Source organism: Homo sapiens, chromosome 8, assembly GCF_000001405.40.
Source record: "Homo sapiens chromosome 8, GRCh38.p14 Primary Assembly".
Lineage (NCBI taxonomy): Eukaryota > Metazoa > Chordata > Mammalia > Primates > Hominidae > Homo > Homo sapiens.
Genome location: NC_000008.11, coordinates 6,686,737 through 6,699,663, shown reverse-complemented (window position 1 = coordinate 6,699,663; position 12,927 = coordinate 6,686,737). Strand labels below are relative to the sequence as shown.

At 41.6% G+C, this 12,927-nt stretch overlaps 1 long non-coding RNA gene across 1 annotated transcript in view, besides 2 other annotated features; it reads left to right on the top strand.

Moving 5' to 3' along the window:
- MCPH1-AS1 (MCPH1 antisense RNA 1) overlaps positions 1 to 12,927 on the top strand; it is a 92,607-nt gene that overhangs the window by 8,546 nt on the left and 71,134 nt on the right. The gene's annotated exons all lie outside the window — the stretch shown is intronic.
- Positions 8,760 to 8,809: an enhancer, noted in NCBI's record as "active region_26952". NCBI's record gives its function as "activates an Ori minimal core promoter by ATAC-STARR-seq in GM12878 lymphoblastoid cells {active_cell/tissue: GM12878}" and the evidence as "EXISTENCE:reporter gene assay evidence [ECO:0000049][PMID:35858748]".
- Positions 8,910 to 9,289: an enhancer, noted in NCBI's record as "active region_26951". NCBI's record gives its function as "activates an Ori minimal core promoter by ATAC-STARR-seq in GM12878 lymphoblastoid cells {active_cell/tissue: GM12878}" and the evidence as "EXISTENCE:reporter gene assay evidence [ECO:0000049][PMID:35858748]".

The window sequence follows — 12,927 nt, the reverse complement described above, 5'->3', positions numbered from 1 at the left end:
CTCTGAGACCCTTGCCTAGCTGTGCCCTCCAGTTATTTGCCGCATATCAATTAGATCCCATACTGACACGGGATTTGTTTCGACCCCCTTTACCAGACTTGCAGCAGGGGTGGGTCTACTCGGCCCACTGCACTCAGCCCCTCGAGGGAGGGAGCACATGAGCGAGTGAGTGTGGGACCTGGCCGGCCACTCCGAGGGCCACCCCCTCCTTTGACCTTAGACTCTATGTGAGGGAATCTGTGTGCCATGCTAAGTCCCCGGCACACTGCCGCTGTGTGGATGCACATGGGTGCTTTCCCAATCCTTCCCACTCATGGGAGGTGCCCCTATAACCATGCAATGGGTTCATCTTGCCTGCTGCCAAGATAGAGCTGATTTATCAAGACGGGGATTGCAATAGAGAAAGAGTTTAATGTCATGCAGAGCCAGCGGAATGGGAGACCAGAGTTTTATTATGCAAATCAGTCTCCCTGGAAGTTCAGAGGCTACAGTTTTTCAAGGATAGTTTGGGTGTTGCTGATTTGTTGGGGATGCAATCATAGGGGTGTGGAAAATGGTCCCCATCCATGCTGTGCTGAGTCTACTTCTAGGTGAGGCCACAAGACCAGTTGATGGTCCCAGTGTGTCAGTTGTCAAAAATGCAAATACCTGAAAGGACATCTCAAAAGGCCAGTCTTAGGTTCTACAATAGTGATGTTACCTGCAGGAGTAGTTGGGGAAATTTCAAATCTTGTGACCTCTGGAATAATGGCTGGTAACCATTCACATCTTCTCCTGAGCAGAACTCAGGCTCCCTTCATCTCTCTATCTGATGGCCTTTTGTTAGCTTTACAAAGGCGGTTTAGTTTTGGGGAAGAGATATTATCATTTAAACTGTAAACTAAATGTCTCCTAAAGTTAGCTTAGCCTGAGCCCAGGAATGATTAAGAGCAGTTTGGAGGTTAAAGGCAAGATGGGGGTTGGTTAGATCAGATCTCCTTCACCATCATGATTTTCTCTTGTAAAGGTGGTTTCACTCCCTGGAGGCACTGCTCTATGAGATAGAGCTACAAAACCAGGTTTGTACTAGGAAATTGTCCCCTTCAGCACCTGGTGATTGGATCCAAGGTAATTAAGTCATAGACCACATAATTAAGTCACTGGAAACAACAAAATAATTGCCAAACAGAACTAAGCACTGGAGCACAGAAGTAATAGAGAATTACAGTCATAATTGGTACCATGGTGTATTGTTAGTCCATTCTCATGCTGCTATAAAGAAATACCCAAGACTGGGTAATTTATTAAAGAAAAGAGGTTTAATTGACTCACAGTTCTGCATGGCTGGGGAGGCCTCAGGAAACTTACAGTCATGGTGGAAGGCTAAGCAAAAGCAGCTACCTTCTTCACAAGGCAGCAGGAGAGAGAGTGCCAGCAGGTGAAATGCAAGATGCTTGTAAAGCCATCAGATGTCATGAGAACTCACTCACTGTCCTGAGAACAGCATGGGGCAAACCACCCCCATGATCCAATCATCTCCACCTGGTTTCTCCCTCAACACCTGGGGATTATGAGGATTACAATTCAAGATGAGATGTGGGTGGGGACACAGCCAAACCATATCACATGGAAACCCAAAACCACATACATGTTAATGCTTTGGGAGAGCAGGAAGTAATGAAGCTGCCAGCATTGTTTGGAGAAGAACGTACGGTACCTTTCAAGATTGTGCTTACCCTTAATGCTCCCGCACATACTCCCTTTATTGGTGATCTTCATCCCAATATTGAGGTGGTGTTTCTCCTCTAAAACCACTTCTTTGATTCAACCAATGGACCAAGGACTTATAGCGCCTTTAAGGCCTGCTACCTGAGAAGGACTTTTGCCTAGGCTATTGCTGTGGCTGAGGAAGATGCTGAGAAGACACTGATGCAACTCTAGAAGGATTACAACATCTATTGTAGCAGGATGAGCTGCAGACAAAACTCCTCAGACACCTAGTTAAAGAAAGAAGGGGTTTATTCCGCTGGGAGCATTGGCAAGACTCCTGTCTCAAGAGCTGAGCTCCCCGAGTGAGCAATTCCTGTCCCTTTTAAGGGCTCACAACTCTAAGGGGTTCTGCGTGAGAGGGTGGTGATCGTTTGAGCAAGCAGGGGGTACGTGACTGGGGGCTGCATGCACCAGTAATCAGATCGGAACAGAACAGGACAGGGATTTTTACAATGCTTTTCCATATAATGTCTGGAATCTATAGATAACCAGTTAGGTCAGGGGTCGATCTTCAACTACCAGGCCGGGCTGTCTGCCTGTGGATCAGCCAGGCAGCGCCGGGCTGTCTGCCTGTGGATTTCATTTCTGCCTTTTAGTTTTTACTTCTTTCTTTGGAGGCAGAAATTGGGCATAAGACAATATGAAGGGTGGTCTCCTCCCTTACTATGACTGCATCAAGAACTTTGGCATGGTCACCAAGGCGTGTATGAATGGAATCTGGACGAAGACACTCAAGAGGTTTGTCTATGACTTCAAAGGATTAGCCAGTATGAGGAGGTTGCAAAAACCAAGGCTGTGGTTGTCATAGCAAACGACTCCAACTAGGTGTGAATGAGGATGATGTAGAGGAGCTCTTTGAGGTGGTTCTTGAGGAATTGAAGAATGAGGAGCTGTTGGAACTGGAACAGGAATGCATAGCTGAAGAAGAGGCAAGAGAAGAGGAAACAGAGAAAAAAGAACTCCTAAGAAGAGTAACAATGAAGGGTTTGGCAGAAGCTTTTGTAGACCTCAGAAAGCTCCTTAAAAAGTTTGAAAACATAGAGCCCAACACTGAAAGGTTTTCATTAATAGAGAGGACTGTATATGGTGCATTATCTGTTTGCAGGCAAATCTGTGATGTAAAAAAGAAACAAACCAAGCAAACCACCGAAGACATATTTCTGAAAATAGCAGCACTTGCTAAATAGCCTCAGTGAGGTCCTTCAGGAGAAATCCAGAAGGATGCATTGTGGTCATAGGAGATGACAGCTCCATCCATGTTATTTCCCCTGAGGACTTTCTAGTGGGATAACATGTGGAGGTGGGATAACATGTGGAGATGGAACACAGTGATATTGATGATCCTGACCCTGTGTAGGCCAAAGCTGATGTGTGTGTTTGTGTCTTAGTTTTTAATAAAAAAAGTTTAGAAAGTAATAGAAAGGTTTTTAAATGGCTTATAGAATAGACATATGAAGAAAGGAAATATTTTTGTACAGCTGTACAAGGTGTATTTTAAGCTAACTGTTATGAGAATCAAAACGTTTTTAAAAATTAGTTTTAAAACAAGTTATAGCAAAGTAAGGTTAATTTATTATTGAAGAAATAGATTTTAAAAAATAAATGTAATGTAGCCTGTAAGTGTACAGTGTTTATAGTATCTCCATCTTTAAGTATAGCATGACTATATTTCACTTTGTTGCAAAGAAGCTGCACAGTGACTTACAATGATGCATGCAAAACAGTAGAATAAAACAAAGAATGAAATGAGGCAAAAGACTGTGAAGAGTAGGCAAGTACGGGGGGCCAAGATGAAGTCAGTGCTGCACAGACCCTCTGTGGTTAGGCACAACTTTAGGCTAAAGTCAATGCTAAGCTTTTGGAGCCCAGCCTGGGTTTCTCTGTAGAAGGGTTTTTAAGTGTAGATTTTACACACGCGCACACACACACATACACACTGATTTTGAAAATTAAAAATTAAATGTTTTAGTGGCTTTCAGATATATACAATTGAACTTATTTTATCTTGTGTCAAATTTGATAAGTTGTGGTTTTCAAGAAATTTGTTCACTTCATCTAAGTTGTCAAATTTGCTAGCAAAAAAATTGTTTATAATATTCTTTATCTCTGTAATTATGTCCTCTTTTTCATAACTGATATTGGTGATCTTGTTTTCCCACCTTCTCCCCATTGAACAAACAAGCAAGGACTTTGTCAATTTTATAATTTTGTTGTTGTTGTTGTTTTGTGAGACAAAGTCTCACTCTGTTGCCCAGGGAATCTCGCTCTGTCGCCCAGGCTGGAGTGCAGTGGCAAGATCTCAGCTCACTGCAAGCTCCGCCTCCCAGGTTCACACGATTCTCCCCTCTCAGCCTCCTGAGTAGCTGGGACTACAGGCGCCCGCCACCACACCCGGCTAATTTTTTTTTTTTGTATTTTTAGTAGAGACAGGGTTTCACTGTGTTAGCCAGGATGGTTTCGATCTCCTGACCTCGTGATCCACTCACCTTGGCCTCCCAAAGTACTGGAGATTACAGGTGTGAGCCACTGTGCCCAGCTGACCTAACTTTTTATTTATTTCCTTCTACTTTCTCTGTATTTAATTTGATGGTTTTTAGCTTCTTGAGTTGGAAGCTTGTTGATTTTTAACCTTTTTTTCTCAGAAATGAATTTAAAGCCATACATTTTCTTGCAAGTACTTCTTTAGCTGTATCCACAAGTCTTTTTTTTTTTTTTTTTAGAGACCAGGGTCTTACCCTGTCACCTAGGCTTGAGTGTAGTGGCATGATCTCGGGTCACACAGCCATTATTTCGTGGGCTCAAGCAATCCTTCTGCTTCAGCCTCCTTAGTAACTAAGACTACTGGTGCATGCCACCATGCCTGGCAATTTTTTTTTTCCCCTAGAGATGGGGTCTTGCTATGTTGACCAGGCTACAAAATTTGACAACTTTCGTGTTAGTATAGTTTTTTTCTTCTTCTTTCTTCCTGCTGCTTCTTGTTTTTTGTTTGTTTGTTGGTTTTTTTGACAAGGTCTTTGTCTGTCACCTTGGCTGGAGTGTAGTGGTGTGATGATAGCTCATTGCAGCCTTGAACTCAAGGGCTCCGAGTAGACGGGACTGCATATGTCACCACTCACAGCTAACTTTAAAAATTTTTTGTAGAGACATGATCTCACTGTGTTGCCCAGGGAGCTCTTTAACTCCTGACCTCAAGCAGTCCTCCTGCCTTGGCCTCGCAAAGTGCTGGGATTACAGTTGTGAGCCACCGTGCTCAGCCCACTAGCCCTTCCTACTGATGGTGATTAGGTTGCAGGGCCTGTTGCCTATTTGGAACCTCTGAGTTGGTGATATTAAAGCGTTGCCATCTGCATGTCAGAGGCTTTGTGTTCTCTTTTCTGCAGTTTCCACTTATGCAAAAGTTACCATAAGAGGAGCCAGAAAGGGTTGTTGGGATGTTGAGCCAGCCTATAATTTTAACAACCAGGACATCAAGGCCAAGCGAGCCACAGTCTGCTTAGGTCCCACAACTGGTACCAATGGCACTGGGGCCAAGCCCCACGACTTCTAATTCCCAGGTCACTGCTCACCATTCCTTTAACTCCTCCACTATGTCCTCACCTTGGCTTACGTGTTTGTACATATTGTCAATCCTCCATGCAGATTCAAATTTGACTTCATATACTTCCACTCATCTTGGCAGAGAAAATGGACTTTATAGTGATTGTTTTGATTTCTTTCTTTGCGTTGTAACTTAGGTTTTATTATAGCATATCCAGTAGGACAAAAGTCACATTGAAAGACTATTGTGAGTGAAATCCAGTCTTTGATTGCCTTGCAAACTAAAGTGTACAATTACAGGTTTGAAGACCTTTCGATCGGTCGGCCAGGGGTGTAGGAATGTAGAAGGCTTTGCTTCCAGCTTCCTTATGATACTCTGGGGAAGTGTGTTGCAGGCGTCATGACTGCCAGCTGTCCCTCCTCACCTCCACCACTCACCACCTATTTTTCTTTCTGTGTATGATCGAATGATACTTGCTGCCGTTCGCTATGGATGGTCCGGGCACCAATCCAATAAACCCCTTGCATTTAGCTTGCCTTTTAAAAACATTAAATTGTCTTCCATTTTTTCCTTCACTCCTAGCTTTTAGTTTTATAGTCTAATATTATTTTTCAACACTACTTTTAATACTTAACAGTGTGGTCATATTTAGTGTTCAGGGATCTATATGCTTTATTTAAAATGTGTTGAAAATCACTTTATTTTTCAAAATTTTTTTTCTTATAAATCATTTCAAAAATTCTGAAACAATGAGACCCTTAAGATTTAACCAGCCGGGTTCAGTGGCTCATGCCTGTAATCCCAGCACTTTGGGAGGCCGAGGTGGGCGGATCAGTAGGTCAGGAGATCGAGACCATCCTGGCTAACACGGTGAAACCCCATCTCTACTAAAAATACAAAAAATTAGCTGGACGTGGTGGCAGGCGACTGTAGTCCCAACTACTTGGGAGGCTGAGGCAGGAAAATGGCGTGAACCCGGGAGGCGGAGCTTGCAGTGAGCCGAGATCACGCCACTGCACTCCAGCCTGGGCGACAGAGCGAGACTCCATCTCAAAAAAAAAAAAAAAAAAAGATTTAACCAAACCATTTCTCTCTTCTGTAATCTTCTAATAATTTCTGTCATTTAAACAAATTATTCTTTTCTGTTGAAAGATATATATTTTGGAAATGTCCCCTGCCCTGATTCCTTTCATTTCTGTAAAGAAAACACTGGAGACAAACCACTGGAATGAGCCATAGTTATTTGCGCCTGAACATCAATCACTCTTCCAGCCTACGAGGGGACCCCCGTGATAATCCCCCTTCGCCTCTGCCAAAAGATGTCAACAGCATCTTATGTAATGTTACTCTCTGTGGACAGATGACCCCAGATATGTGTCTCTGGCCTTGGCCTGCGACCGTTTTATTATCGGGCTTCTGCATGTCTTTCTTTTTTTTTTTGAGACGGAGTCTCACTCTGTTGGCCAGGCTGGAGTGCAGTGGCGCGATCTCAGCTCACTGCAACGTCCACCTCCCGGGTTCAAGCGATTCTCCTGCCTCAGCCTCCGGAGTAGCTGGGATTACAGGCGTGTGCTACCATGCCTGGCTAATTTGTTGTGTATTTTTAGTAGACACAGGGTTTCACCATGTTGGTCAGGCTGGTCTTGAACTCCTGACCTCATGATCCGCCTGCCTCAGCCTCACAAAGTGCTGGGATAGCAGGCGTGAGCCACCGCGCCCGGCCTTCTCCATGTCTTTCTGATGGCTTTGTCTCCTTTGGACAGGCACTGATACCTCAAAGAAGAGTTCAAAGGTACAGCTTCCATTGACTTCGGCTGTCAAGGCTTGTGTCACATATTGTTAAGAGGGGATAATAAGGTTCCTTGCTTCCTTTATTTTCTCTACGGCACATTATTGTTACTTTTGTTATCAAAACTTGAAACTTGGATTTTTAAATGATTTTCTTTCTCTTTTGTAACTCCATGCCAATTTCTATTGTTTCCTCAATAGTATATTACTTTCAGATTTATCTTTTTCTGCCAAGAGCTTTATTATTTAATATTACAACGGTAAAAAAATTCCTCCCATTTAAATCTTTCTAAACCATGGTGTGCCTACAGAAATTTTGCCATTAATTGCAAGTCTTAAGCAAAAGATATATCACTCCTACAACATTATCTCACACTTAGACACACTACATATATTCTGTTTACATAAAGTGTTTTTAAAAATTAATACAAAAGAGATGAAAAGATACTTTTCAAAAGAAGACATATATACCGCCAAACAAGCATATGAAAAAAGTTAGTATCACTGATCATTAGAGAAATCAAAACCACAATGAGATACCATCTCATGCCAGTCAGAATGGTTATTATTAAAAGTCAAGAAATAACAGACACCGGCGAGGTTGTGGGGGAAAAGGAATGCCTATTCACTGTCGGAATGTAAATTAGTTCAACCATTGCGGAAAACAGTGTAGCAATTCCTCTAAGAGCTAAAAACAGAACTACCATTCGACCCAGCAATCCCATTACTAAGTGTATACCCAGAGAAGTCTAAATCATTCTACCATAAGGACACATGCAGGCAACTGTTCATTGCAGCACTATTCACAATAGCAAGGACATGGACTCAACCTAAATGCTTATCAGTGGCAGATTGAATGAAGAAAATGTGGTACATATACACCGTGGAATGCTATGAAGCCATAGAAAGAACGATCACGTCCTTTACAGGAACACGGATGGAGCTGGAAGTGATTATCCTTAGCAAACTAACACGGGAACAGAAAACCAAATACCACATGTGCTCACTTATAACTGGGAACTAAATGATGAGAACACATGGACACAAAGGGGGAACAACACACACAGAGGCGTACTTGAGGGTAAAGAGTGGGAGGAGGGAAAGGATCAGGAAAAATAACTATTGGGTAGTAGGCTTAGTACCTGGGTGATGAAATAGTCTGTACAACGAACCCCTGTGTTATGAGTTTACCTATATAACAAATCTGCACATGTGCCACTGAACCTAAATTAAAGTTTTCAAAAATTTACTTCAATATTTTGTTGTTCATTTTTCTTTGCCCAATATTAATTAACTTAACAATTATTTTGACCTTACCATGTATCACAGACATGGTCCATGCCTTCTTGGAGCTAACAGCCCAGTGAGTGAGATTGACCAGAACTCTTTTCTAAATTCAATGAGAATATTTTAGTCGCTAACTCTTCCACTGATTACAACTAATTTTGAGAACAAAAAGCATCTACCTGAAGACTCTGAAAAGTAAACAACAGCAGGGGAGAGAAATAAAAACTTGAAAAATGACCAATACCAGTGAGTTTCCAAGTTTTTTTTCTTTCTTCATCTTTTGCCTTCCACACAAGGGTGGCCTGCAGCATGAACTATAGAGCTTCACAGTGGACACAGAGAGCAAAAACTCTTAAGAGAACCCCTTCCTTTCAGCCAGGTGTGGTGGCTCTCACCTGTAATCCCAGCACTTTGGGAGGCCAAGGCAGGAGAATTGCTTCAGACAAGGAGTTTGAGAACAGCCGTGCAAAACTCTGTCTCTACAAAATATACAAAAATTAGCCTGGTGTGGTGGCGTGTGCCTGTCGTCCTAGCTACTCAGGTGGCTGAGGCATGAGAATTGCTTGAATCTCAGAGGTAGAGGTTGCAGTGAGCCAAGATCATGCCACTACCCTCCAGCGTGGGTGACAGAGCAAGACTCTGTCTCAAAAAAAAAGAGAAAGAAACCCTTCCTTTCTGACCACAGAAAAACAAGTCAAGAGTGCAGGGGATGGGAAGTCCCTATTTACGTTTCTTTTCTTCCTTTTTTTCTATTTTGGTCCAGCCACAAGGGCAGCTCACCTTGCACAGCTATACTACTGTGGTGATGATGGGGGCAGCTGAAACCCCAAGATAAAACTATCATTATGATCAGAGGAACCAGGAAAAGGGGCTTCTGGGAGTCAGACCATGTGGGGGACATCTCAGAGAGAAGTGCATTGGAGAAGGGCACCCCCTAATTATGTGTATGAATCTAGCCAACTCTCGAGCTCATCCAGAGCTGTGAGTGCACAGAACAGACCCAGAGAAGCATAAGAAAAGCCTGGAGAACTGAGATAGAAAACACCGCCCACAGAAAGCAAAAAGGAACTTGCCGTCTGAACCAAAACAGGCTGCAAAACAAACCACAAAAAATCAGCATGATCACACAAAGCCCAGAGCTGCTCAACATATTAATATGTCCAAGATAGAATGCAGAATTATTTGATATACAAATAACCAGAAAACTATTCCCATTTCCCAAGGGAAAAGACAATCAACAAATGGCAACCATGAGATGACCCAGATATTGAAATTAGCACACAAAGTTTAAAGAGCTATTATAACTATACTTGAAATAAATGAAAAAATGGAAATGAGTTTTCAGTAGGAAAATCAAAACTATAAAAAAGAACAAAATGAATATTTTAGGACTGAAAAATACAACATAGTGCAAGAAGATGATTCACTGGATGGGCTTAATAGTAGAATGGAGGTGTCAGAGAAACAGTGGAAAATGATCAATAGAAATTATCCAGTCTGAAGTAGAGAAAGAACAAAGATTTAAAACAAAATGAGCAGAGCCTCAGGGACCTGTGGGATAATATCAAAACGTTTCACCTTTATATCCTTGGAGTCCCAGAGGAGAAGAGAAATAGGTGTGGAAAAATTATTTGAAACATAATGGCATGCTTAAAACTTACCAAATTCAGGGAAAAACAAACTTCCATGAACCCTAATCAGGATACACATGAAAAATATTGTGCCAAGACACAATAACTGCAAGAGGAAAAGAAGAAGAGGGATGGGGAGCAGGTAGATGAAAACAACAGATTGTATATAGGGGAAGAAAAATTTGAAGATTTCTCACTGGAACCGTGGAGACCAGAAGAGAGTGGAACATCTTCTAAGTGCTGAAAGAAAAAAACAAGCAGCCAAACCCCATTCCTCCAACAATACTCTGTCATCCCAGAATTCTATGTGCATCAACAATGTCCTTCAGAAATGAAGACAAAATACGTTTTTGAATGAAAGCCAATCAACAAGTCCAGCAAAATTGCACAACATAAAATCAACATACAAAAAATCAGTTACATTTCTGTAACTAACAATAACAATCTAAAAAGGAAATTTTAAAACTTTCATTTACAATACAAAGACTAAAATCCTTAGGAATATATTTAACCTAGGGGGTGAAAGGCTTGTACACTGAAAACCCCCAAAATATTGAAATTGTAAATGAAAAATTACCCCCATGTACATGTACTAGAAGACATAATATTGCTAAAGTGGGAATACTACCTGAAGGGATATACAGATTCAATGAAATCTCTCTCAATGGTATTTTTTTTTTTTTTTAAGATGGAGTCTCTGTCACCCAGGCTGGAGTGCAATGGCGCAATCTCGGCTCCCTGCAACTTCTGCCTCCCGGATTCAAGCAATTCTCCCGCCTCAGCCTCGCAAGTAGCTGGGATTACAGGCACACACCACCATGCCTGGCTAGTTTTTGTATTTTTGTAGAGACAGGGTTTCGCTGTGTTGGCCAGGCTGGTCTTGAACTCTTGACCTCAGGTGATCTGCCCACCTCGGCCTCCCAAAGTGCTGGGATTCCAGGAGTGAGCCACTGCTCGTGGCCTGTATTTTTTATGGAAACAGAAAAGCCCATCCTAAAGTTTACAGAAAATCTCTCTCTCTCTCTCTGTCACTCTCTCTCTTTTTATAAGACATGGTGTCACTATGTTGCCCAGGCTGGACTTGAACTCCTTGGCTCAAATAATCATCTCACCTCAGCCTACTGAATAGCTGGGATTACAGGTGTGTACTACTCCACCTGTCTGTCATATGGAATATTAAGGAACCCTGAATAGCTAAAATAATCTTGAAAAAGAAGACTATAGTTGGAGGACTCACAGTTCCTGATTTCAAAACTTACTACAAAGCCATGGTAATTAAACAGTGTGATCTTGGCTTAAAGATAGACAGAGAAACCAATGGTATAGAGAAGACAGCCAAGAAATAAGCCACTGCATATATCATCAGTTGATTTTTGACAAGGGCTCCAAAAAACCCTCTCCAGGGAAAGGGTAGTCTTATTAATGGTGCTGAGAAAACTGGATATCCACATGCAAAAGAATGAAGTTGGACTCTTCCGTTATACCACATACAAAAATTGACTCAAAATAAGTCAAAGACTTAAATGTAAAAGCTAAAGCTATAAAACTCGTAGAAGAAAACACAGGGGAAAACCTTCATGACATTGGATTTGGCAGTAATTTCTTGGAAATGACACCAAAAGCACTGGCAATAAATGAAAAAAATAGGTAAATTGGACTTCTTCTAAATTTAAAGTATGTACATCAGTGCAGTGTGGGAAAGTAAACAAAATTAAAGTTAGAAATGGTTTAATTCTTCCCTTCAACTCTGTATGCTTGAGTCTTCCTATCCCAGGCACCAGACATGTGAGGGGGCGAGCCTGTAAATGATCCCACCACCAGCCCTGCAGGTCAACCCAAGGAGCCAGCCCCCAGAGCCCTGCCCGATTTGCAGGTTCATGTGTAAAACAGATGTAATGGCTTACACCCCCATTTATATCTTAATTCACTTATTTTTATTCTTTTATGCTTATTTGAATGTCTGCTGATCTAATACATGTGAGTAATCTCTTAGACTGTCAAAAACCCATCATAGGGTCCAGAGATATGTTAATTGATAGAGTCATAGAGACTGACCATGTTGGGAATGACTGTCCAGACCCTAGTGCCCTGAATGTGGCGAATAAGACTGTTTTTATAGAAAAAGAGGCTCCCTCAGCTCTCAGGAGTCAGGGAGCAAATGCTTGGCCCCGAGGCGCTAGGAAGGGGAGTGAGAAGTGGCTGTTTAGAGTGTAGCATGGCACAGCATCACTGGAAATGCTTTGAAATCCAGAACACCACGTCACCTGCCACTAAAGAAATACTTCCACCAGGCTTCTAAAGAGAAGGATGTAATATGCTGAACATAAAACACATTAAACATAACAAAAATGTGGTTTGAGAAGAGATGAAGTAGAAACCAACTAGGTGAAGTCACTCTATTTGATTTACTAATGTATCAGTGAAGATAGGCTAAAGAGGCTAGGTTGTACTGCAGTGAGAAATAACCGGAAGAATGCTGGTAACTGTTTAACGACTGGTTCTTTGGAGCAGGGGTGGGGGGAGTGGAGCAGGGCAGGGGAAGACATTCATATATATATATACATACATACACACATATATATACATATATATACACATATATATACACATATATATCTGGGGAATAAGCTTATTATAAATTTTACTGATAGAAAAGGCATCAATTTATAAATTAAAAAAACCCACTACTCCCTACTGTATGTCTTATAAGTTCCAAATAATTAATTCTCATAGAGCATTTTTGTTAATTTTTGCAGTAATCTTGTAGCCAACCTCTGGTTTCAATTGTCAAGTGAATACAGTTCCAGCATGAATGTTGATTGCTGCATTTATTTATGTTTATGAGGAAGACCAAAGTAAAATGGCTACAAAGATGTATATTAAAACCTCACCCATTTGTTTCCTGAATTGATTGATGCTTTTCTGGAAGAATAT